Source organism: Homo sapiens, chromosome 19 (assembly GCF_000001405.40).
Source record: "Homo sapiens chromosome 19, GRCh38.p14 Primary Assembly".
NCBI lineage: Eukaryota > Metazoa > Chordata > Mammalia > Primates > Hominidae > Homo > Homo sapiens.
Window position 1 is genome coordinate 36,794,871 of NC_000019.10, and position 15,602 is coordinate 36,810,472.

General features: G+C 43.8%; 1 long non-coding RNA gene across 2 annotated transcripts in view, besides 3 other annotated features; it reads left to right on the forward strand.

Moving 5' to 3' along the window:
- Positions 2,242–2,311: a silencer, noted in NCBI's record as "silent region_10551". NCBI's record gives its function as "represses an Ori minimal core promoter by ATAC-STARR-seq in GM12878 lymphoblastoid cells {active_cell/tissue: GM12878}" and the evidence as "EXISTENCE:reporter gene assay evidence [ECO:0000049][PMID:35858748]".
- Positions 2,322–2,481: a silencer, noted in NCBI's record as "silent region_10552". NCBI's record gives its function as "represses an Ori minimal core promoter by ATAC-STARR-seq in GM12878 lymphoblastoid cells {active_cell/tissue: GM12878}" and the evidence as "EXISTENCE:reporter gene assay evidence [ECO:0000049][PMID:35858748]".
- ZNF790-AS1 (ZNF790 antisense RNA 1) overlaps positions 2,680–15,602 on the forward strand; it is a 30,562-nt gene continuing 17,639 nt past the window's right edge. Inside the window, exons 1-3 of one of the 2 annotated variants that reach the window (NR_040027.1) lie at positions 2,680–2,941; positions 6,333–6,370; positions 7,006–7,063. This is a non-coding gene — a long non-coding RNA (ZNF790 antisense RNA 1). The remainder of the gene's footprint in view (positions 2,942–6,332; positions 6,371–7,005; positions 7,064–15,602) is intronic. The other variant, NR_040028.1, reaches the window with a different exon arrangement.
- Positions 2,902–2,971: an enhancer, noted in NCBI's record as "active region_14534". NCBI's record gives its function as "activates an Ori minimal core promoter by ATAC-STARR-seq in GM12878 lymphoblastoid cells {active_cell/tissue: GM12878}" and the evidence as "EXISTENCE:reporter gene assay evidence [ECO:0000049][PMID:35858748]".

Sequence of the window (15,602 nt, forward strand, 5' to 3'; positions counted from 1 at the left end):
AAAGAGGAGTTTGCTGAGCTGGTCCGTCGCGATTGTCCAATAAGATGCAGACAGACTGGGAAAGAAAGGAGTTTATTTCTGCAACCGGTTAGACGGAGAAGCCAAGTAACTCACCAGACCAACTCAAAGTTTCAAGTTTTTTTCTAGTGCTTATATACATCTTAAGCTCAATGCTATGGTGGGACTGCACCTACAAGCAGAAATGTTGCATTCAATCAACATCTAATCTTTAACTACGGTCTAGGGTCTGGAAAGATTTCTCTAGAGTCTTGGAAAGTTTCTGAATCTTAAGACAGGCCCAGGTGAATGTGTAAGAATACTATTATTATTCGATCAGACTTTAGGGTCTGAGAGGACCCAGGCGGGGTCTTAATGGGTTCGTTTTCGCATTCCATCCCTGATACTCAGGCACCAGTTTCTCAATTTCTTTAACGTTTAACTTATGCATTCATCAAAATTATAGTAAAGTGTTAATGGAAACTGTTCTGGTTGCTAATGGAAACCTGGCCTGCCACACTGCCGAACTGAAGCCCACTGCAGAACACTGAAAATGCCTGCAAACACTGACTTTACTGACAACTCTTAAATTACAGAAAATCAAGTTCATGCTGCCTCTCCGATCTGTCCTACGGAATTGCTAGTTACAAACGTGCACATTGTCCTAGGTTCGGTTTTGCAAAGATGGAGCCCTTCAGCGAAAGCATTTGTTTGATTTCATGCATTAATGTTTCCTCTATCCATTTCCTTTTTACTTATTTATTTAAAGACGGAGTTTCCCTTACTGCAACCTCCGCCTCCCGGGTTCAAGTGATTCTCCTGCCTCAGCCTCCCAAATAGGTAGGATTACAGGCATGCGCCGCCATGCCCCGCTAATTTTTGTTTTTGTTTTTTTCTTTTTTTTTTTCTTTTGAGACGGAGTTTCACTCTTGTTGCCCAGGCTGGAGTGCAATGGCGCGCGCGATCTTGGCTCACCGCAACCTCCGTCTCCCGGGTTCAAGCGATTCTTCTGCCTCAGCCTCCCGAGTAGCTGGATTACAGGCATGCGCCACCACCCCGGCTAATTTTGTATTTTTAGTAGAGACGGGGTTTCTCCATGTTGGTCTGGCTCGTCTTGAACTCCTGACCTCAGATGATCCACCCGACTCGGCCTCCCAAAGTGCTGGGATTACAGGCGTGAGCCACCGCGCCCGGCCAATTTTTGTATTTTTAGTAGAGACGGGGTTTCACCACGTTGCCCAGGATAGTCTCGAACTCCTGAGCTCAGGCAATCCAGCCGCCTCGGCCGCCCAAAGTGCTGCGATTACAGGCGTGAGCCACCGCGCCCGGCCTATTTTATTTTATTTTAAGACGGAGTCTCACTCTGTCGCCCAGGCTGGAGCGCAGGGGCGGGATCTCGGCTCACTGCAACCTCCGCCTCTCCGGCTCACTGCAACCTCCGGCTCACTGCAACCTCCAACTCTCCAACTCTCCAACTCTCCAACTCTCCAACTCTCCAACTCTCCGGTTCACGCGATTCTTGTGCCTCCGCCTCCCGACTAGGTGGGATTACAGGCGCCCGCCAGCACGCCTGGCTAATTTTTGTATTTTTAGTACAGACGGGGGTTTCATCATGTTGGCGGCCGGACTGTTCTCTAACTCCTGACCTCAAGTAATCGGCCCGCCTCGGCCTCCCAAAGTGCTGGAACTACAGGCGTGAGCCACCGCGCCCGGCCCCATTTCCTTTATTTTATTTTACTATGTTCAGACGGAGTTTCGCTCTTGCTGTCCAAGCTGGAATGCAGTGGCGCGATCTCGGCTCACCGCAACCTCTACCTCCCAGGTTCAAGCGATTCTCCTGCATCAACCTCCGGAGTAGCTGGGATTACAGGCGCACGCCACCACGCCCGACTACATTTCCTTTATTTTATTTTTATACTTTACTAGCCTGTTTGTTGATCACAAGACTGGCGGTGCACAAGGTTGGGTCTCGGTGTTCACCGGGCGGTGGGCGTGGGCGAGGTGGGAGGGTCTCCAGCGCCTGGTGCTAATCTCCAAGAAAGTGCAGGAAACAGCACCAAACGTGATTGCAAAGTTTTGGTTTGGCGCGGCGGGTAGGCGTTCCAGCGCAGAAATGCGCAGGAAAGTTTCTGCTGTGCTTGTAGGAAGGTCGGCCACAAGCACTTCTTTTGTTTTTTGAAACCGAGTTTCGCTCTGTCGCCCAGGCAGGAGTGCAGTGGCGTGATATCCGCTCACTGCAAGCTCCGCCTCCCGGGTTCACGCCATTCTGCGGCCTCAGCTTCCCGAGTAGCTGGGACTATAGGCGCCCGCCACCACGTCTGGTTAATTTTTCGTATTTTTAGTAGAGACGGGGTTTCACCGTGTTAGCCAGGATGGTCTCGATCTTCTGACCTCGTGATCCGCCCGCCTCGGCCTCCCAAAGTGCTGGGATTACAGGCGTGAGCCGCCGCGCTCGGCCGGCCCCAAACACTTCTTATTGGCTAATCTGGAGCAAACCTGCATATCCATTGGCTGAAAGCTCCGTCTATTTTAGGGTGACTGAGAGCGTCTCTTCCTTCTGTGTTGCCTGGAAACGGACTGTTCGCCTAGTAACATCTGATCACGTTTCCCATTGGTCACCGTTTCCGGAAGCCCGCTCTCCCGTTTCCGGAATCCCCGCAGGCGCTGGGTCTGCAGATGGCGTCCAGGTACACAGTGGCGAGTGTGATTCCGCAGTCTTGGGCTGTTTGGCCAAGCGCCCGCCGGACATGGTACGCCGAAGGGTCATCGGCGTGGAGTCCTCGCTTTCAGCGTCCGCGGCTGGGAAATCGGCCATCGCTACGGCGGGAACTGGGACTCGGGCTGCGTCCCGGCCCTTCCACATCGGTCCACCGCACTCGTGGGCGCCCGCATTGGTGCTGACATAATTTCCTGACCTCTGACCCGTATTGTCTCGCGATTAAAGGTAAAAAACGGGGCTTTTTCATCCCACTGGGGTAAAACGCCCTTTTATTTCTAGCCAGGTGTTCTGTTGCAGAACGCCTCGAAGGGAGGGAGTGACCGGCAGGTTGAGGTTTATTAAATAAAATACATTCCTGGTTTATATTATGTTTATAATAAAGCACCCCACCCTTTAAAAAATCTCACGTTTTGCCAGTTGCATTATTTAGTGGACTGTCTCTGATAAGGACAGCCAGTTAAAATGGCATTTTGTTGTTGTTGCTAATTAAACCAATTTTTAGTTTTGGTGGTTTTCCTAACAGCAGCAACTTCTCAGGCTTTATAAAATCATATTTCTTGTGGGAAATTTCTGTGAAAGGCGCAGCGAGTTAGTTTGGAATTGTTTTAAAGGAAGTAAGTTCCTGGTTTTGATATCTTAGTAGTAGTATTTTCCCCAGTGTCTTTGAAATCTTATTTTTGGAGCACGTATGTAGAGTAACTTTTGTGAAAGAAACAACTTTTATTTTTTATTATTATTTTTTTTTGAGACGGAATTTCGCTCTCGTTGCCCAGGCTGGAGTGCAATGGTGCAATCTCTGCTCACTGCAACCTCCGCCTCCCGGGTTGAAGCGATTCTCCTGCCTCAGCCTCACGAGTAGCTGGGATTATAGGCATGTGCCACCACGTCCAGCTAATTTTGTATTTTTAGTAGAGATGGGGTTTCTTTATGTTGGTCAAGCTGGTCTCGAACTCCCGACCTGGGGTGATCTGCCCGCCTCGGCCTCCCAGAGTGCTGGGATTACAGGTGTGATCCACCGCACCTGGCTGATTTCATATATATATCTTCCTAAATCCTTTAAAAAGTTAGTGGATCTCTTACTTTTGTAGGATTTATTTCATAGTGTGAATGAGACACCTGTAGGCTCCAGGTCTCTGTCTTCATGAGGTGTGAAGATTCAGTGCTTTATAAAACAGTCCCCACATTCTTCAAAGGCCTTGTTCTTAATTCTCAGCACGCTTGTGCTTCTGACATTGTTACTAAAATTAAGCTAAGTTTTTCTGGTTATGTGAGAGCTGTGGAAATGTCCAGCGTTAGCCACTAATGTTTCTCCTTGATATTTCTCCGTATCTTAATACTGACTCTCAATCCATTACTCAGATGGGTGTCCTTTTCCTGGATGTCTGGAAACTAAGCCTGGCTATCCCTCTGACCTCCCTGCCGAGCTACCATTTTTTTCCTCTCTCTTTTCTTGTCTACACTTGAGTTGGTAACCTCAGCTCTTTCATGAGCAACCTTGATGCCTTTGACTCCTTCTGAGTTTATTACCCACAGTTCCATCAGCCAAGTTTAGGGGCCCATGAGAAGGGCTCGTGTAAATTTTCACATTCCTCTAACCAAAATGTAGTGTTTCCTTCCATCTTGAATATAGGCTGTAGACCCCTCGGGTATGGGGTATTGTTGGCAGTGAGACCACAGCAGTTTTTATGTCATCTGACAGCATCTACAAATAGCCTTCATGGTTGTCACTGCTTTCCAAGACATTTCCAAGTAACAGTTCCCAGTGATGATTTACTACTCGCTATTGTTACTTAATGTGTTAAGGTGGCTGTCATAGGCACTATTACTATGTCAGAAATTACACCAAAATTTAGTGGCTCAAACAATCATTATGTTATGTGGATTCTCATGCTCACAGTCAGGATTTCAGATATGGCACAAGGGTAGCCCACTTGTCTCTGTTCCATGATGTCTGGCCTCAGCACGGAAGACTCAACGGCTGGGGTCTGCAACCATTTGGAGGCTTGTTCCCTTGTGGGGAAAACAAAGAGAGATCAGACTGTTACCGTGTCTGTGTAGAAAGAAGTAGACATAAGAGACTCCATTTTGTTCTGTACTAAGAAAATTTCTTCGGCCTTGAGATGCTGTTAATCTGTAACCCTAGCCCCAACCCTGTGCTCCCAAGAGACTTGTGCTGTGTTGACTCAAGGTTTAATGGATTTAGGGCTATGCAGGATGTGTTTTGTTAAAAAAAAGTGCTTGAAGGCAGTATGCTTGTTAAAAGTCATCACCGTTCTCTAATCTCAAGTACCCAGGGACACAATACAAAGATTTCTCCTCATGCGATAGCCTGAGATATGGCCTCCTGGGAAGGGAAAGACCTGACCATCCCCCAGCCTGACACCCATAAAGGGTCTGTGCTGAGGAGGATTAGTAAGAGGAAGGCCTCTTTGTATCTTTGCAGTTGAGATACGAGGAAGGCGTCTGTCTCCTGCTGGTCCCTGGGAATAGAATGTCTCAGTGTAAAACCTGATTGTATGTTCCATTTACTGAGATAGGAGAAAACCACCTTAGGGCTGGAGGTGAGACTTGCTGGCGGCAATAGTGCTCTTTAATGCACTGAGATGTTTGTATACGTGCACATCAAGGCACAGCACCTTTTCTTAACCTTGTTTATGACACGGAGACCTTTGTTCACATGTTTTCCTGCTGACCCTCTCCCCACTATTACCTTATTGTTCTGCCACATCTCCCTGTCTGAGATGGTAGAGATAATGATCAATAAATACTGAGGGAACTCAGAGACCGGTGCCAGTGCAGGTCCCCTGGTCCCACTTTTCTTTGTCTATCCTTTTTTTTTTTTTTGAGATGGAGTCTCACCCTGTCGCCCAGGCTGGAATGCAGTGGTGCAATCTCGGCTCACTGCAACCTCCGCCTCCCGGGTTCAAGCGATTCTCCTGCCCCAGCCTCCCAAGTAGCTGGGATTACAGGCGCGCACCACTATGCCCAGCTAATTTTTGTATTTTTAGTAGAGACGGGGTTTCACTATGTTGGTCAGTCTGGTCTCAAACTCTTGACCTCGTGATCCGCTCGCCTCGGCCTCCCAAAGTGCTGGGATTACAGGCGTGAGCCACCATGCCCAGCCTTCTTTGTCTATACTTTGTCTCTGTGTGTTTTTCATAGTCTCTCGTCCCACCTGACGAGAAACACCCATAGGTGTGGAGGGGGCAGGCACCCCTTCAGTTGGGCAAATGGTCTAATATTTCTTTTTTTTTTTTTTTGAAACAGAGTCTTAGTCTGTCTCCCATGCTGGAGTTCTGTGGCACCGTGTCAGCTCACTGCAACCTCCATGTCCTGGGTTCAAGCAATTCTCTTGCCTCAGCCTCCAGAGTAGCTGGGATTACAGGCGCCCACCACGCCTGGCTAACTTTTTAATATTTTTAGTAGAGACGGTTTCACCATGTTGGCCAGGCTGGTCTCGAACTCCTGACCTCAGGTGATCTGCCCGCCTAGGCCTCCCAAAGTGCTGGAATTACAGGTGGGCGCTTGGCCAAGGGGCTGATATTTCTTAAGGGCTTCCCCTGAGAAAGAAGAAGCCAAACCTACTCAGGCAAATCTTGTTTATTTATTCTTCTAGGTCCAGATTTGGAACAAATCTCTCTAGAGATTGAACAGGTAAGGCTCACCTTTCAATAATTACACCAAGAAAGGCCTAGCTGATGACTTAAGCTATGGTTTTGGGCAGCACGAGAGTGGTCAGGTGGACAGTAGGGAAGTCTATACAACCCAAAGGGAAAAGAGAAAAGGCCCATGAGAAATCAGGGCAAATTGCCACAGTGTGTTTTTCTTGATGGTGTCACTGAAATGTGGGTTACCTTCCCACTGTGTCCCCCAAAGGACATGAGGCCACAGACTGCAGTGCCCGTGAGCAGAGGAGCTGTAGGGACGGTGGTTTGATCGCTCCATTCAAATGCACACCCCGGTGCCTGTGCGTCTCTTCTGATGCAGGGCCCCAGTGGGTAAGCTCTGTGCTTCTCCACACAGTGGATTAGGAGTGGAAACATTCTGTCTGTTTAGCGCTTGATGGTTTGGTGGTGACCTCATGTCATGGTGATTAGAGCCAGTGATCCTAACAGTTTAAAATTGTTGAGCTTGTGGGTAGGTATTTGGGAGATAGTATATGTGTTACCTAGTGTTTGTCATCCGCAGTGGTTTTGTTACTTTTTGCATAAACTGCGGAGAAAGTTTACTAACTGCAGATAGTAGAGAAATTACCAGTCACTCTAAAATCCTCCCATTTCTTGGTCTAGAGCTGCGCCTGGATCCCTCAGCAGTGAGGAGACCTGAAGACCAGAGGAAACACAGCAAGTAGGCCCTTTAAACCACTCACCTGTGTTGTCTTCCAATTTATTCTGTTTTATTTTGTTTCCATCATTTTAAGGGGTTAAAATCATCTTGTTCAGACCTCAGCATATAAAATGACCCATCTGTAGACCTCAGGCTCCAACCATACCCCAAGAGTTGTCTGGTTTTGTTTAAATTACTGCCAGGTTTCAACTGCAGATATCCCTGGAAGGAATATTCCAGATTCCCTGAGTAGTTTCCAGGTTAAAGTCTTATAGGCTTCTTCTGTTTTGAGGAGGAGTTCCTGTCAGAGAAAAGCCTGATTTGGATTTTTAACTTTAATGCCTGTGAAATGCTATAAAAAATAATTTTCTACCCCTAACATTAAAGTACTGTTAGTGAGAAATTAAAATTCCCTCAGGAGGATTAAACTGCCATTTCAGTTACCTGAATTCCAAATGTTTTGGTTGTTAGAATTTTCTTTAATGTTCATGAGGAAGTGTTTTATATTTTCTATCAAGATTAATTCTCTTTTTTTTTTTTTTTAGACGGAGCCTTGCTCTGTTGCCCAGGCTGGTGTGTAGTGATCTCAGCTCACTGCAAGCTCCACCTTCCGGGTTCACACCATTCTCCCACCTCAACCCCCGGAGTAGCTGGAACTACAGCCTCCTGCCACCACGCCTGGCTAATTTTTTTTTTGTATTTTTAGTAGAGACGGGGTTTCACCATGTTAGCTAGGATGGTCTCGATCTGCTGACCTCGTGATCCACCCGCCTCGGCCTCTCAAAGTGCTGGGATTAAAGGCGTAAGCCACTGCGCCTGGCTGTTTTTTCATTTCTATTATGATTTGTCCTGTGGAATGTCAGTGACTTAGCGGTATTTTTATCACACGTTTATAAAGCTGAATAGTTTTGTATGTCAGCTCAGCACCCTTAGTGTCAGCCATGCTAGTCTCCTGCTGTGCATAGATCGAGGCCTGTCCATACCCGAATCTCCTGGGTTCCCACTGTCAGCACCTGAAGGTACCCACCAGATGTGTCTGTCACTTCCCTACATCCACCTCTATTGTGGTTCTCATGTTTCTGCCTCCCTAGAGACCATTTCTCTGTAGAGCAGCGCTTTCGAATAGAAATACAATGCCAGACACATAAGTTGTTTTAGATTTTCTAGTAGTCACTTTAGAAAAGTTAAAAAGAAACAGGTGAAATTAATGTTTTATTTCACCTAAAATGTTAGCATTATCCAAAATATCACTTCAACATCTTATCAAAATAAAATTATTAATGAGATTGGTTACCGTTCCGATAAATAGGTGAACTGAGAGCATACACAGTAGTATTCTGTTCTAATTTCTGCTTCACTGTGAGTGTCTTGACATAGTCTTAAAAGAGTATTGCTGTGAAATATTATACATGTAACTCATAACCTCTACAATTCTGCAGTTGTAATTGGTTGTCTTACCTAATAATCAGTTGCTTTGCTTCATAATATTTAAATTGGCATCTCTATTTTCCAAAAGGCATAAATACTAGTATAGTTTTTTAGTTAAGCCAGGAGAAAGTTCACTTTATTTACATAACTTATACGTAAAAATTTAATAAATCTCCCTGCTTCTTTTCTTTTGCATCATAACAACCACTGAAAATAATATTTCTATGGCAGTTGGGGGTAAATGGACAATAGCTTTTGTGACCAGAGGTGAATGGCCCAGGGTCTCCAGCACTCCAGGTCCCACTGAGCCTGCCCCACAGCTGAGGGCATCGGTATTTCCACACACCTATAATGTACAGTGCCCCAGAACAGAGATCGGATGCTCTGCTTTATTCAGATGGGGTGTTGAGAGTATTGTCATTGTAATTGAATTAGTAAGTAAGTATTTATACACTGTTAAAATCTGGTTGGATTTGTGTCCCTTCACAAAACAAATTGCTTAAATGAAACCACAGAGTTAACATAATTGACTACATCTGCTTCTATGAGCTGCTGTTCTAACATTTAACTAGAATCTAATTTGAAATTAGTCAATAAAAAGTTTATTCAACTGAATTATATTTAGACTTTTTGTTGTTGTTGTTGTTTTGAGATGGAGTTTTGCTCTTGTAGCCCAGGCTGGAGTGCAATGGCGCGATCTTGGCTCACTGCAACCTCCTTCTCCCGGGTTCAGGCGATTCTCCTGCCTCAACCTCCCGAGTAGGTGGGATTACTGGTGCCTGCCACCACGCCCAGCGTGAAGCACTGCACCCGGCCTTCATAGATTATTTTACTTTATTTTAGTTACTTATTTTTATGACTTTATTGTTATAAAAATGCTTGTTTTTAAAAAAAATCAACCAGTATAACAAAGAACAAAGAAGATAATCAACAAGCATTCCCACCTCCATGATTTAGAAATAACTGTCATCAATACAGGAAAATACCATGCCATTCTTTCTCCTCTAGGCACATGGACAGACAGATAGAAGGATGGGAAAATAGATAGATGGTCCAGGCACAATGGCTCACGCCTGTAATCTCAGCACTTTGGGAGGCCAAGGCGTGTGGATTACCTGAGGTCAGGAGTTTGAGACCAGCCTAGCCAACATGGTGAAACCCCATCTCTACTTATAATACCCAAAAAAAAAAAAAAAAAATTGGCCAGGAATGGTGGTGGGCTCCTGTAATCCCAGCTACTCAGGAGGCTGAGGCAGGAGAATCACTTGAACCCAGGAGGTGGAGGTTGCAGTGAGCCGAGATTATGCCATTGCACTCCATCCTGGACAACAGAGTGAGACTCCTTCTCAAAAAAAAAAAAAAAAAAAAAAAGAACAGTTGATGAAGGATGGATAGACTAAAACAATGCTGCATTAATGAGGCTACGATAGTGCGTATTTGTATAAAAAGCATTAATTTGCATTTGTTGGCATTTTGAAGCTCTGTTGTTGGATGCATACACATTTAGTATCTATATGTCGTTATGATTTGTAAATCATGTAATGCGTCTCTTTACATAATGATTTTTAAATTATTTTGTAATGTTTCTCATTACGTTATGTAATGCCCTTATTAACTTTCCTTGGAAATCTTTTTTACCCGTTATCCATACAACCACTCTTGCTTTCTTAATACTGATGTTAGCATGATATACCTTTTTTCTTTTGTTCGTTTTTTATTTTAACTGTCAACTTACCTATGCTGTGTTTGAAGTGAGGTTCTTGTACGTGGCATGTAGTTGGGTTATGTTTTATTTTATTTAAACTGCCATCTCTGTCCTTTACATCAAAGGTAAATTGATGTTCTTAGACCACGTACCTTTAAAGTAATTCTTGATGTGTTAAAGCTTAATTCTGCCATTTTATTATTTGTTTTCTGTTTGTTTCCTGTTTCCCTGTTCTAGTCTTCCACTGGATACTTGATCACTTTTAAAATTCCATCTTGTTTAATTTATACTGTATTTGAGTATATCACTTACATAGTTCTTTTGGTGGTTGCTCTAGGTATTACAGTATATATCTATAACTTAGCCTATTGCTATCCACATTTAAGTACTTGCAGTGGAGCATTGAAAACTTACTTTCATTTAGGTCTTTACCCTCTCTACCTTTTAGATATAATTGTTTCCAATGTTTCCTTTTTCATATTGAGCATTCCAACATATGCTTTTATAATTTTTGCTTGAGTCATCAAATATGATTTCAGAAATTCATAAGAAGGAGATTCTTACGGCTTTGTGGCCCTAGATATACTGCCTGTAGTATACTGACCAGTGGCTCCAGACCTCTTTTCTTTGGTGGGAGAGGGTCTGGCACTTGGGTGGGCCTTGCCAAAATTTTCTTTCTCTGTTGTTGACCATCATCTCCCTCTGAAGTTTACTGCCTGACCTGTTTCTGTGTTTGGTTACTCCAGGTGAACTTGTGCTATTTCTGTTGTCTTTAGGTTGAGAGTGGTAGAACTTTTTTTTAACTTCATTCTATCATCTTTACCCCAAAGTCTTACATTTTTAATAAAATTAAAAGCCACCATTTTTGGTCCTTTGTCAGTGACAGCTATCTAAAGAAAGACATTAGCAGCTTTTTAGATATTTAAGGAAGTTTCTGTCATTCTTTGGTTGTCATATCTTTAGGAAACATTTTTTTCCCTAAATTACTCCAAATTAAATTAATCCTACAGTTGGTCTAATTTAATTTTTTTTTTTTTTTTTTTTGAGACAGGGTCTCATTCTGTAACCCAGGCTGAAGTGTAGGGGTGGAATCATAGGTTATTGCAGCCTCAAACTCCTAGGCTCAAGAGATCCTCCCACCTCAGCCTCCCAAGTAACTGGAACTGCAGGTGTGCACCGCCATGCCTAGCTAATTTAAAAATTTTTTTGCAGAGGTGGGGTTGGGTCTCACTATGTTGCCCAAGCTGGTCTCAAATACTTGAGCACGAGTGATTCTGTTACCCTGGCTTCCCAAAGTGCCGGGATTACAGGTATGAGCCACCATGCCTGGCCCAGTTACTTGCTTTTTAAATAGCTCAAAAGTTTTTCATCCTTTTAACCAAAGTTGCCAAATCTAAAGCATTATTCCTTTTGGTCATCAAGTAGAGGAATGGATGAATATATTTCAGTTTGCTTATTACTAAAATATGTTAGTAATAGCATATTTTATTCAAATCACTGCATATTAGCTCTGTCTTATTTTCCATTTTCATGACAAACACACCCAAAGCTCAGCTCACTGTATTTACTTTCTTTTCATGATACTGTTTGCTAAGTTTTTTCTGTTTGCTTCACCATATTTTGAACAATTTTCTATTAAACTAGGATATTTTAAAAGTTTGCCTTTTCAGGCCGGGTGTGGTGGCTCACGCCTGTAATCCCAGCACTTTGGGAGGCCGAGGCAGGCGGATCACGAGGTCAGGAGATCGAGACCATCCTGGCTATCGAGACCATCCTGGCTAACACGGTGAAACCTCGTCTCTACTAAAAAAAATACAAAAAATTAGCCGGGCATGGTGGCAGGTGCCTATAGTCCCAGCTACTCGGAGGCTGAGGCAGGAGAATGGCGTGAACCCTGGAGGCGGAGCTTGCGGTGAGCCGAGATGGTGCCACTGCACTCCAGCCTGGGCAACAGAGCAAGACTGTGTCTCAAGAAAAAAAAAAAATAGTTTGTGTTTTCAATTGTCTTATTTAGACAAACTCTGTAGTTTCAAAGTTATCTTTTTCTTGCCTGATGCCTTTGATGTTTGATGATGTTAATAATATACTATTTTCAAAGCCAATTTCTTATTTCTACACTGATATTGGAAAAAGAATAAAGTGATGAAGTCAACAGGTGTTATTAAAAAATGTGAATAACAGGAAAATGTTTTGTTGTTTGTTTTGTTTTGTCTTTGAAGTCTTTCACAGACTAGATTTGAAGGTTTATGAAGGATAGGGCAAAATTTTCTAAGGAAAGTTGCATCCTATGACCTCAGGCTGACTTCAAGTAAGAGTGGATTTGATAAAGGCATTGTCTTTCTTAGAGTATGTGCATCTTGGCAGAGGAGCCTGGAGAGGCAGTATAGAAGGATTGTTTTAGATGTTGGATCTCTGTAACCTGCATTTACATTTTGTTGAGCCGTTGTCATTTGGGGGAAAACACGAAAAAGAAAAGATCATTATCATGCTACTATAATGCACATCACATAGAATTGCAATGATTTGTTGGTTGTTCATTCCAGTCCAAGAACTGTGAGTTTCTCCAGCCAAAGGTCTTGTATTTATTGATCTTTCTGTCCCACAGGCCTAAAACAGCAGTTGGCCCATGGACAGTTTAATAAATGTTTGCTGACTAATAGATAGGGTATCTAAAATCTTTTCCATGGCCTTATCTCTGGAGATTAAAATTTTCCAGCACTTGTCTATAAAAGATGTCTATGCGTAACTGTAGGGAAGACATTGTAATTTCTGAAGAGGAGGAGCAAACCGACAAGGTTATTGTAGCATTGATTATAATGCATGGTAGCAGTCTATTCTCAGACCTTTAGATGCCTATTTACCTGATGCACTGGCACCAATGCCCCCATTTTGGTGTGCCATCTTCCCTTCACCACTTGGGACAACACAGATAATAAAATCAGCTCCAAAAGCTAACCCATGGTGGATCCCTTCACACCAGTTCACGGTAGAAAGTAACCCCCTTGCTTGTAGAAAACATTATTATTATTATTCTTCAGATGGAGTTTTGCTTTGGTAGCCTAGGCTGGAGTGCAATGGCGCGATCTCGGCTCACTGCAACCTCTGCCTGATGGGTTCAAACGATTCTCCTGCCTCAGCCTTCCAAGCAGCTGGGATTACAGGCGCGCATCACCATGCCCAGCAAATTTTTTGTATTTTTAGTAGAGATAGGGTTTCGCTATGTTGGCCAGGCTGGTCTTGAACTCCTGACCTCAGGTGATCTGCTCGCTTCAGCCTCCCAAAGTCCTGGGATTACAGGCATGAGCCACTGCACCCGGCCTAGAAAACATCATTAAATAGCAAACAGTAGCAGTGTGCTTGGGGATTTTAGGATTGATTATTTTCAAATCTCTAGAAAAGCTCAATGTATTACCTTAGGCTATAATCCCTGGGCAGAGTCTCATCTGTTAATGGGAGCTGGTCTAAGGGTCCTTCCAGCTCCCAGATTGATGATTTCCCAGGTTGATCTGCTCCCTGCCACCCACCCATCCTCGGTTTTGTTTGTTTTTACAGAGATAATGTCTCACTATGTTGCCCAGGCTGGTCTTGAACTCCTGGCCTCAAGTGATCCTCCTGCCTTGGCCTCCCAAAGTGCTGGAGTTCCTGATGTAAGCCACTGTGCTCAGCCCATCCTTGGCTGTTAAAGTGTGGAGGTAAACAGTAGATGCCAAGTTTTCCTCCAGGTTAGAAGTGGCAGATGCCCCAGTACAGAATAATGTCCCTAACCAGGCCTCCCACTGCATGAAGACCTTATTTTCTGGAGCTTAAACCTGGACAAAGGTCTGACCAGTAGCACTATGTTCATGAATATCAGGTCAAAAATTTAAAACTGGGACTATCCAGAGGAACCTGGTAGCTGCAAGTGTAGTCTGCAGTCCAATGGTCAGCTATGAAAACAGGCTACTTGTACTTTCTGTTTGTCATGGAGTCTGATGTAAAAATTGATGACACTTTCTAACTTCTGGTGTGCTTCCCTTCCTTGTTCATTTTCCATAAGTAGCTTCCTCCATCCCTCTTCCCAACAGGCCACAGTCAATTCAGGACATTTTAACCATGAAAATGAGTCTCTGTAAGAGGAATTTAGAGGCCAGGCACGGTGGCCCAGCACTTCAGGAGGTTGAGGCCAGCAGATCACCTGAGGTCAGGAGTTCTAGACCAGACTGACCAACATGGTGAAACCCTGTCTCTACTAAACATACAAAATTAGCCAGGCATGGTGGCGGGGGTCTGTAGTCCCAGCTACTTGGAAGGCTGAGGCAGGAGAATCACTTGAACCCGGGAGGCGGAGGTTGCAGTGAGCTGAGATTATGCCTGGGCAAGAAAAGCAAAACTCCGTCTCAAAAAAAAAAAAAAAAATAAGGAATTTAAAAATTAACATAGAGGAAGGAATAAAGGGGCCAGCCCCTTAAAAATCCCCCAAACCTCTTTAACAGGAGTTTAGGTTATAATATAAATGTGTTGAGGGTACTTTTTGCCTTTGTTGATGAAGGACTCTAGTGAGATTGTGCTGATGATATTGCTGTACTTGGAATGGACTGGTCCTTTCATTTCCTGGATTTGTCTCTTTGTTCTTTTGAGTTCAGGCATAACTTATGTTAATACACTTTGCAGATACTGTGTTTTTGACAAATTGAAGGTTTTGGCAACCATGCGTGGAGCGTCCATCTGTGCCACGTTTCTATCATCATGTGGTCAGTTGGTGACTCTGTCACATTTTGCTAATTCTTACAATACTTCAAATTTTCCATTATTATTACTCTGTTATGGTGATGTGTGATAGGTGGTCTTTGAGGTAACTGTTGTAACTATTTTGGGAGGTCATGAACCAGGACCCTATATGATGGCAAAATTAATTGATAAACATTGTATGTGTTCTGACTGCTCCCCTGCCCAGCTATTTCTCCATCTTTCTCTCCTTTGCCCTCCTTACTCCTTGAGACTCAACAATATTAAAATTATTTCAATGAATAATCCTCCAATGCCCTCTTAGTGTGCAAATTAAAGGAAGACACATGTCTTTCACTTTCAGTCAAAACCAAGAAACGATTAGGCTTAATGAGGAAGGCCATGTTGAAAACTGAGACAGGCTGAAAGCTATACTTCTTGTGCCAAAGTTAGCCAAGTTGTAAGTGCAAAGAAAAAGTTCTCAAAGGAAATTAGAAGTGCTACTCTGGTGAAAACATTCATGATAAGAAAACAAAGCCCTAATTACTATGGATATTGCCTAGGGTAGTACTCCACGCCCTCTGGGCACACAATAGATATTATCTGATGAACTGGAAAAGAGCAAACCAGAAGTGGCTTTATTTTCCCACTTGGACTCCCTTGGACTGCCTTGGACTAATTTTTAAGTCTTGGTTGGAAATCACCGAGTAGGTTCATAAGGTG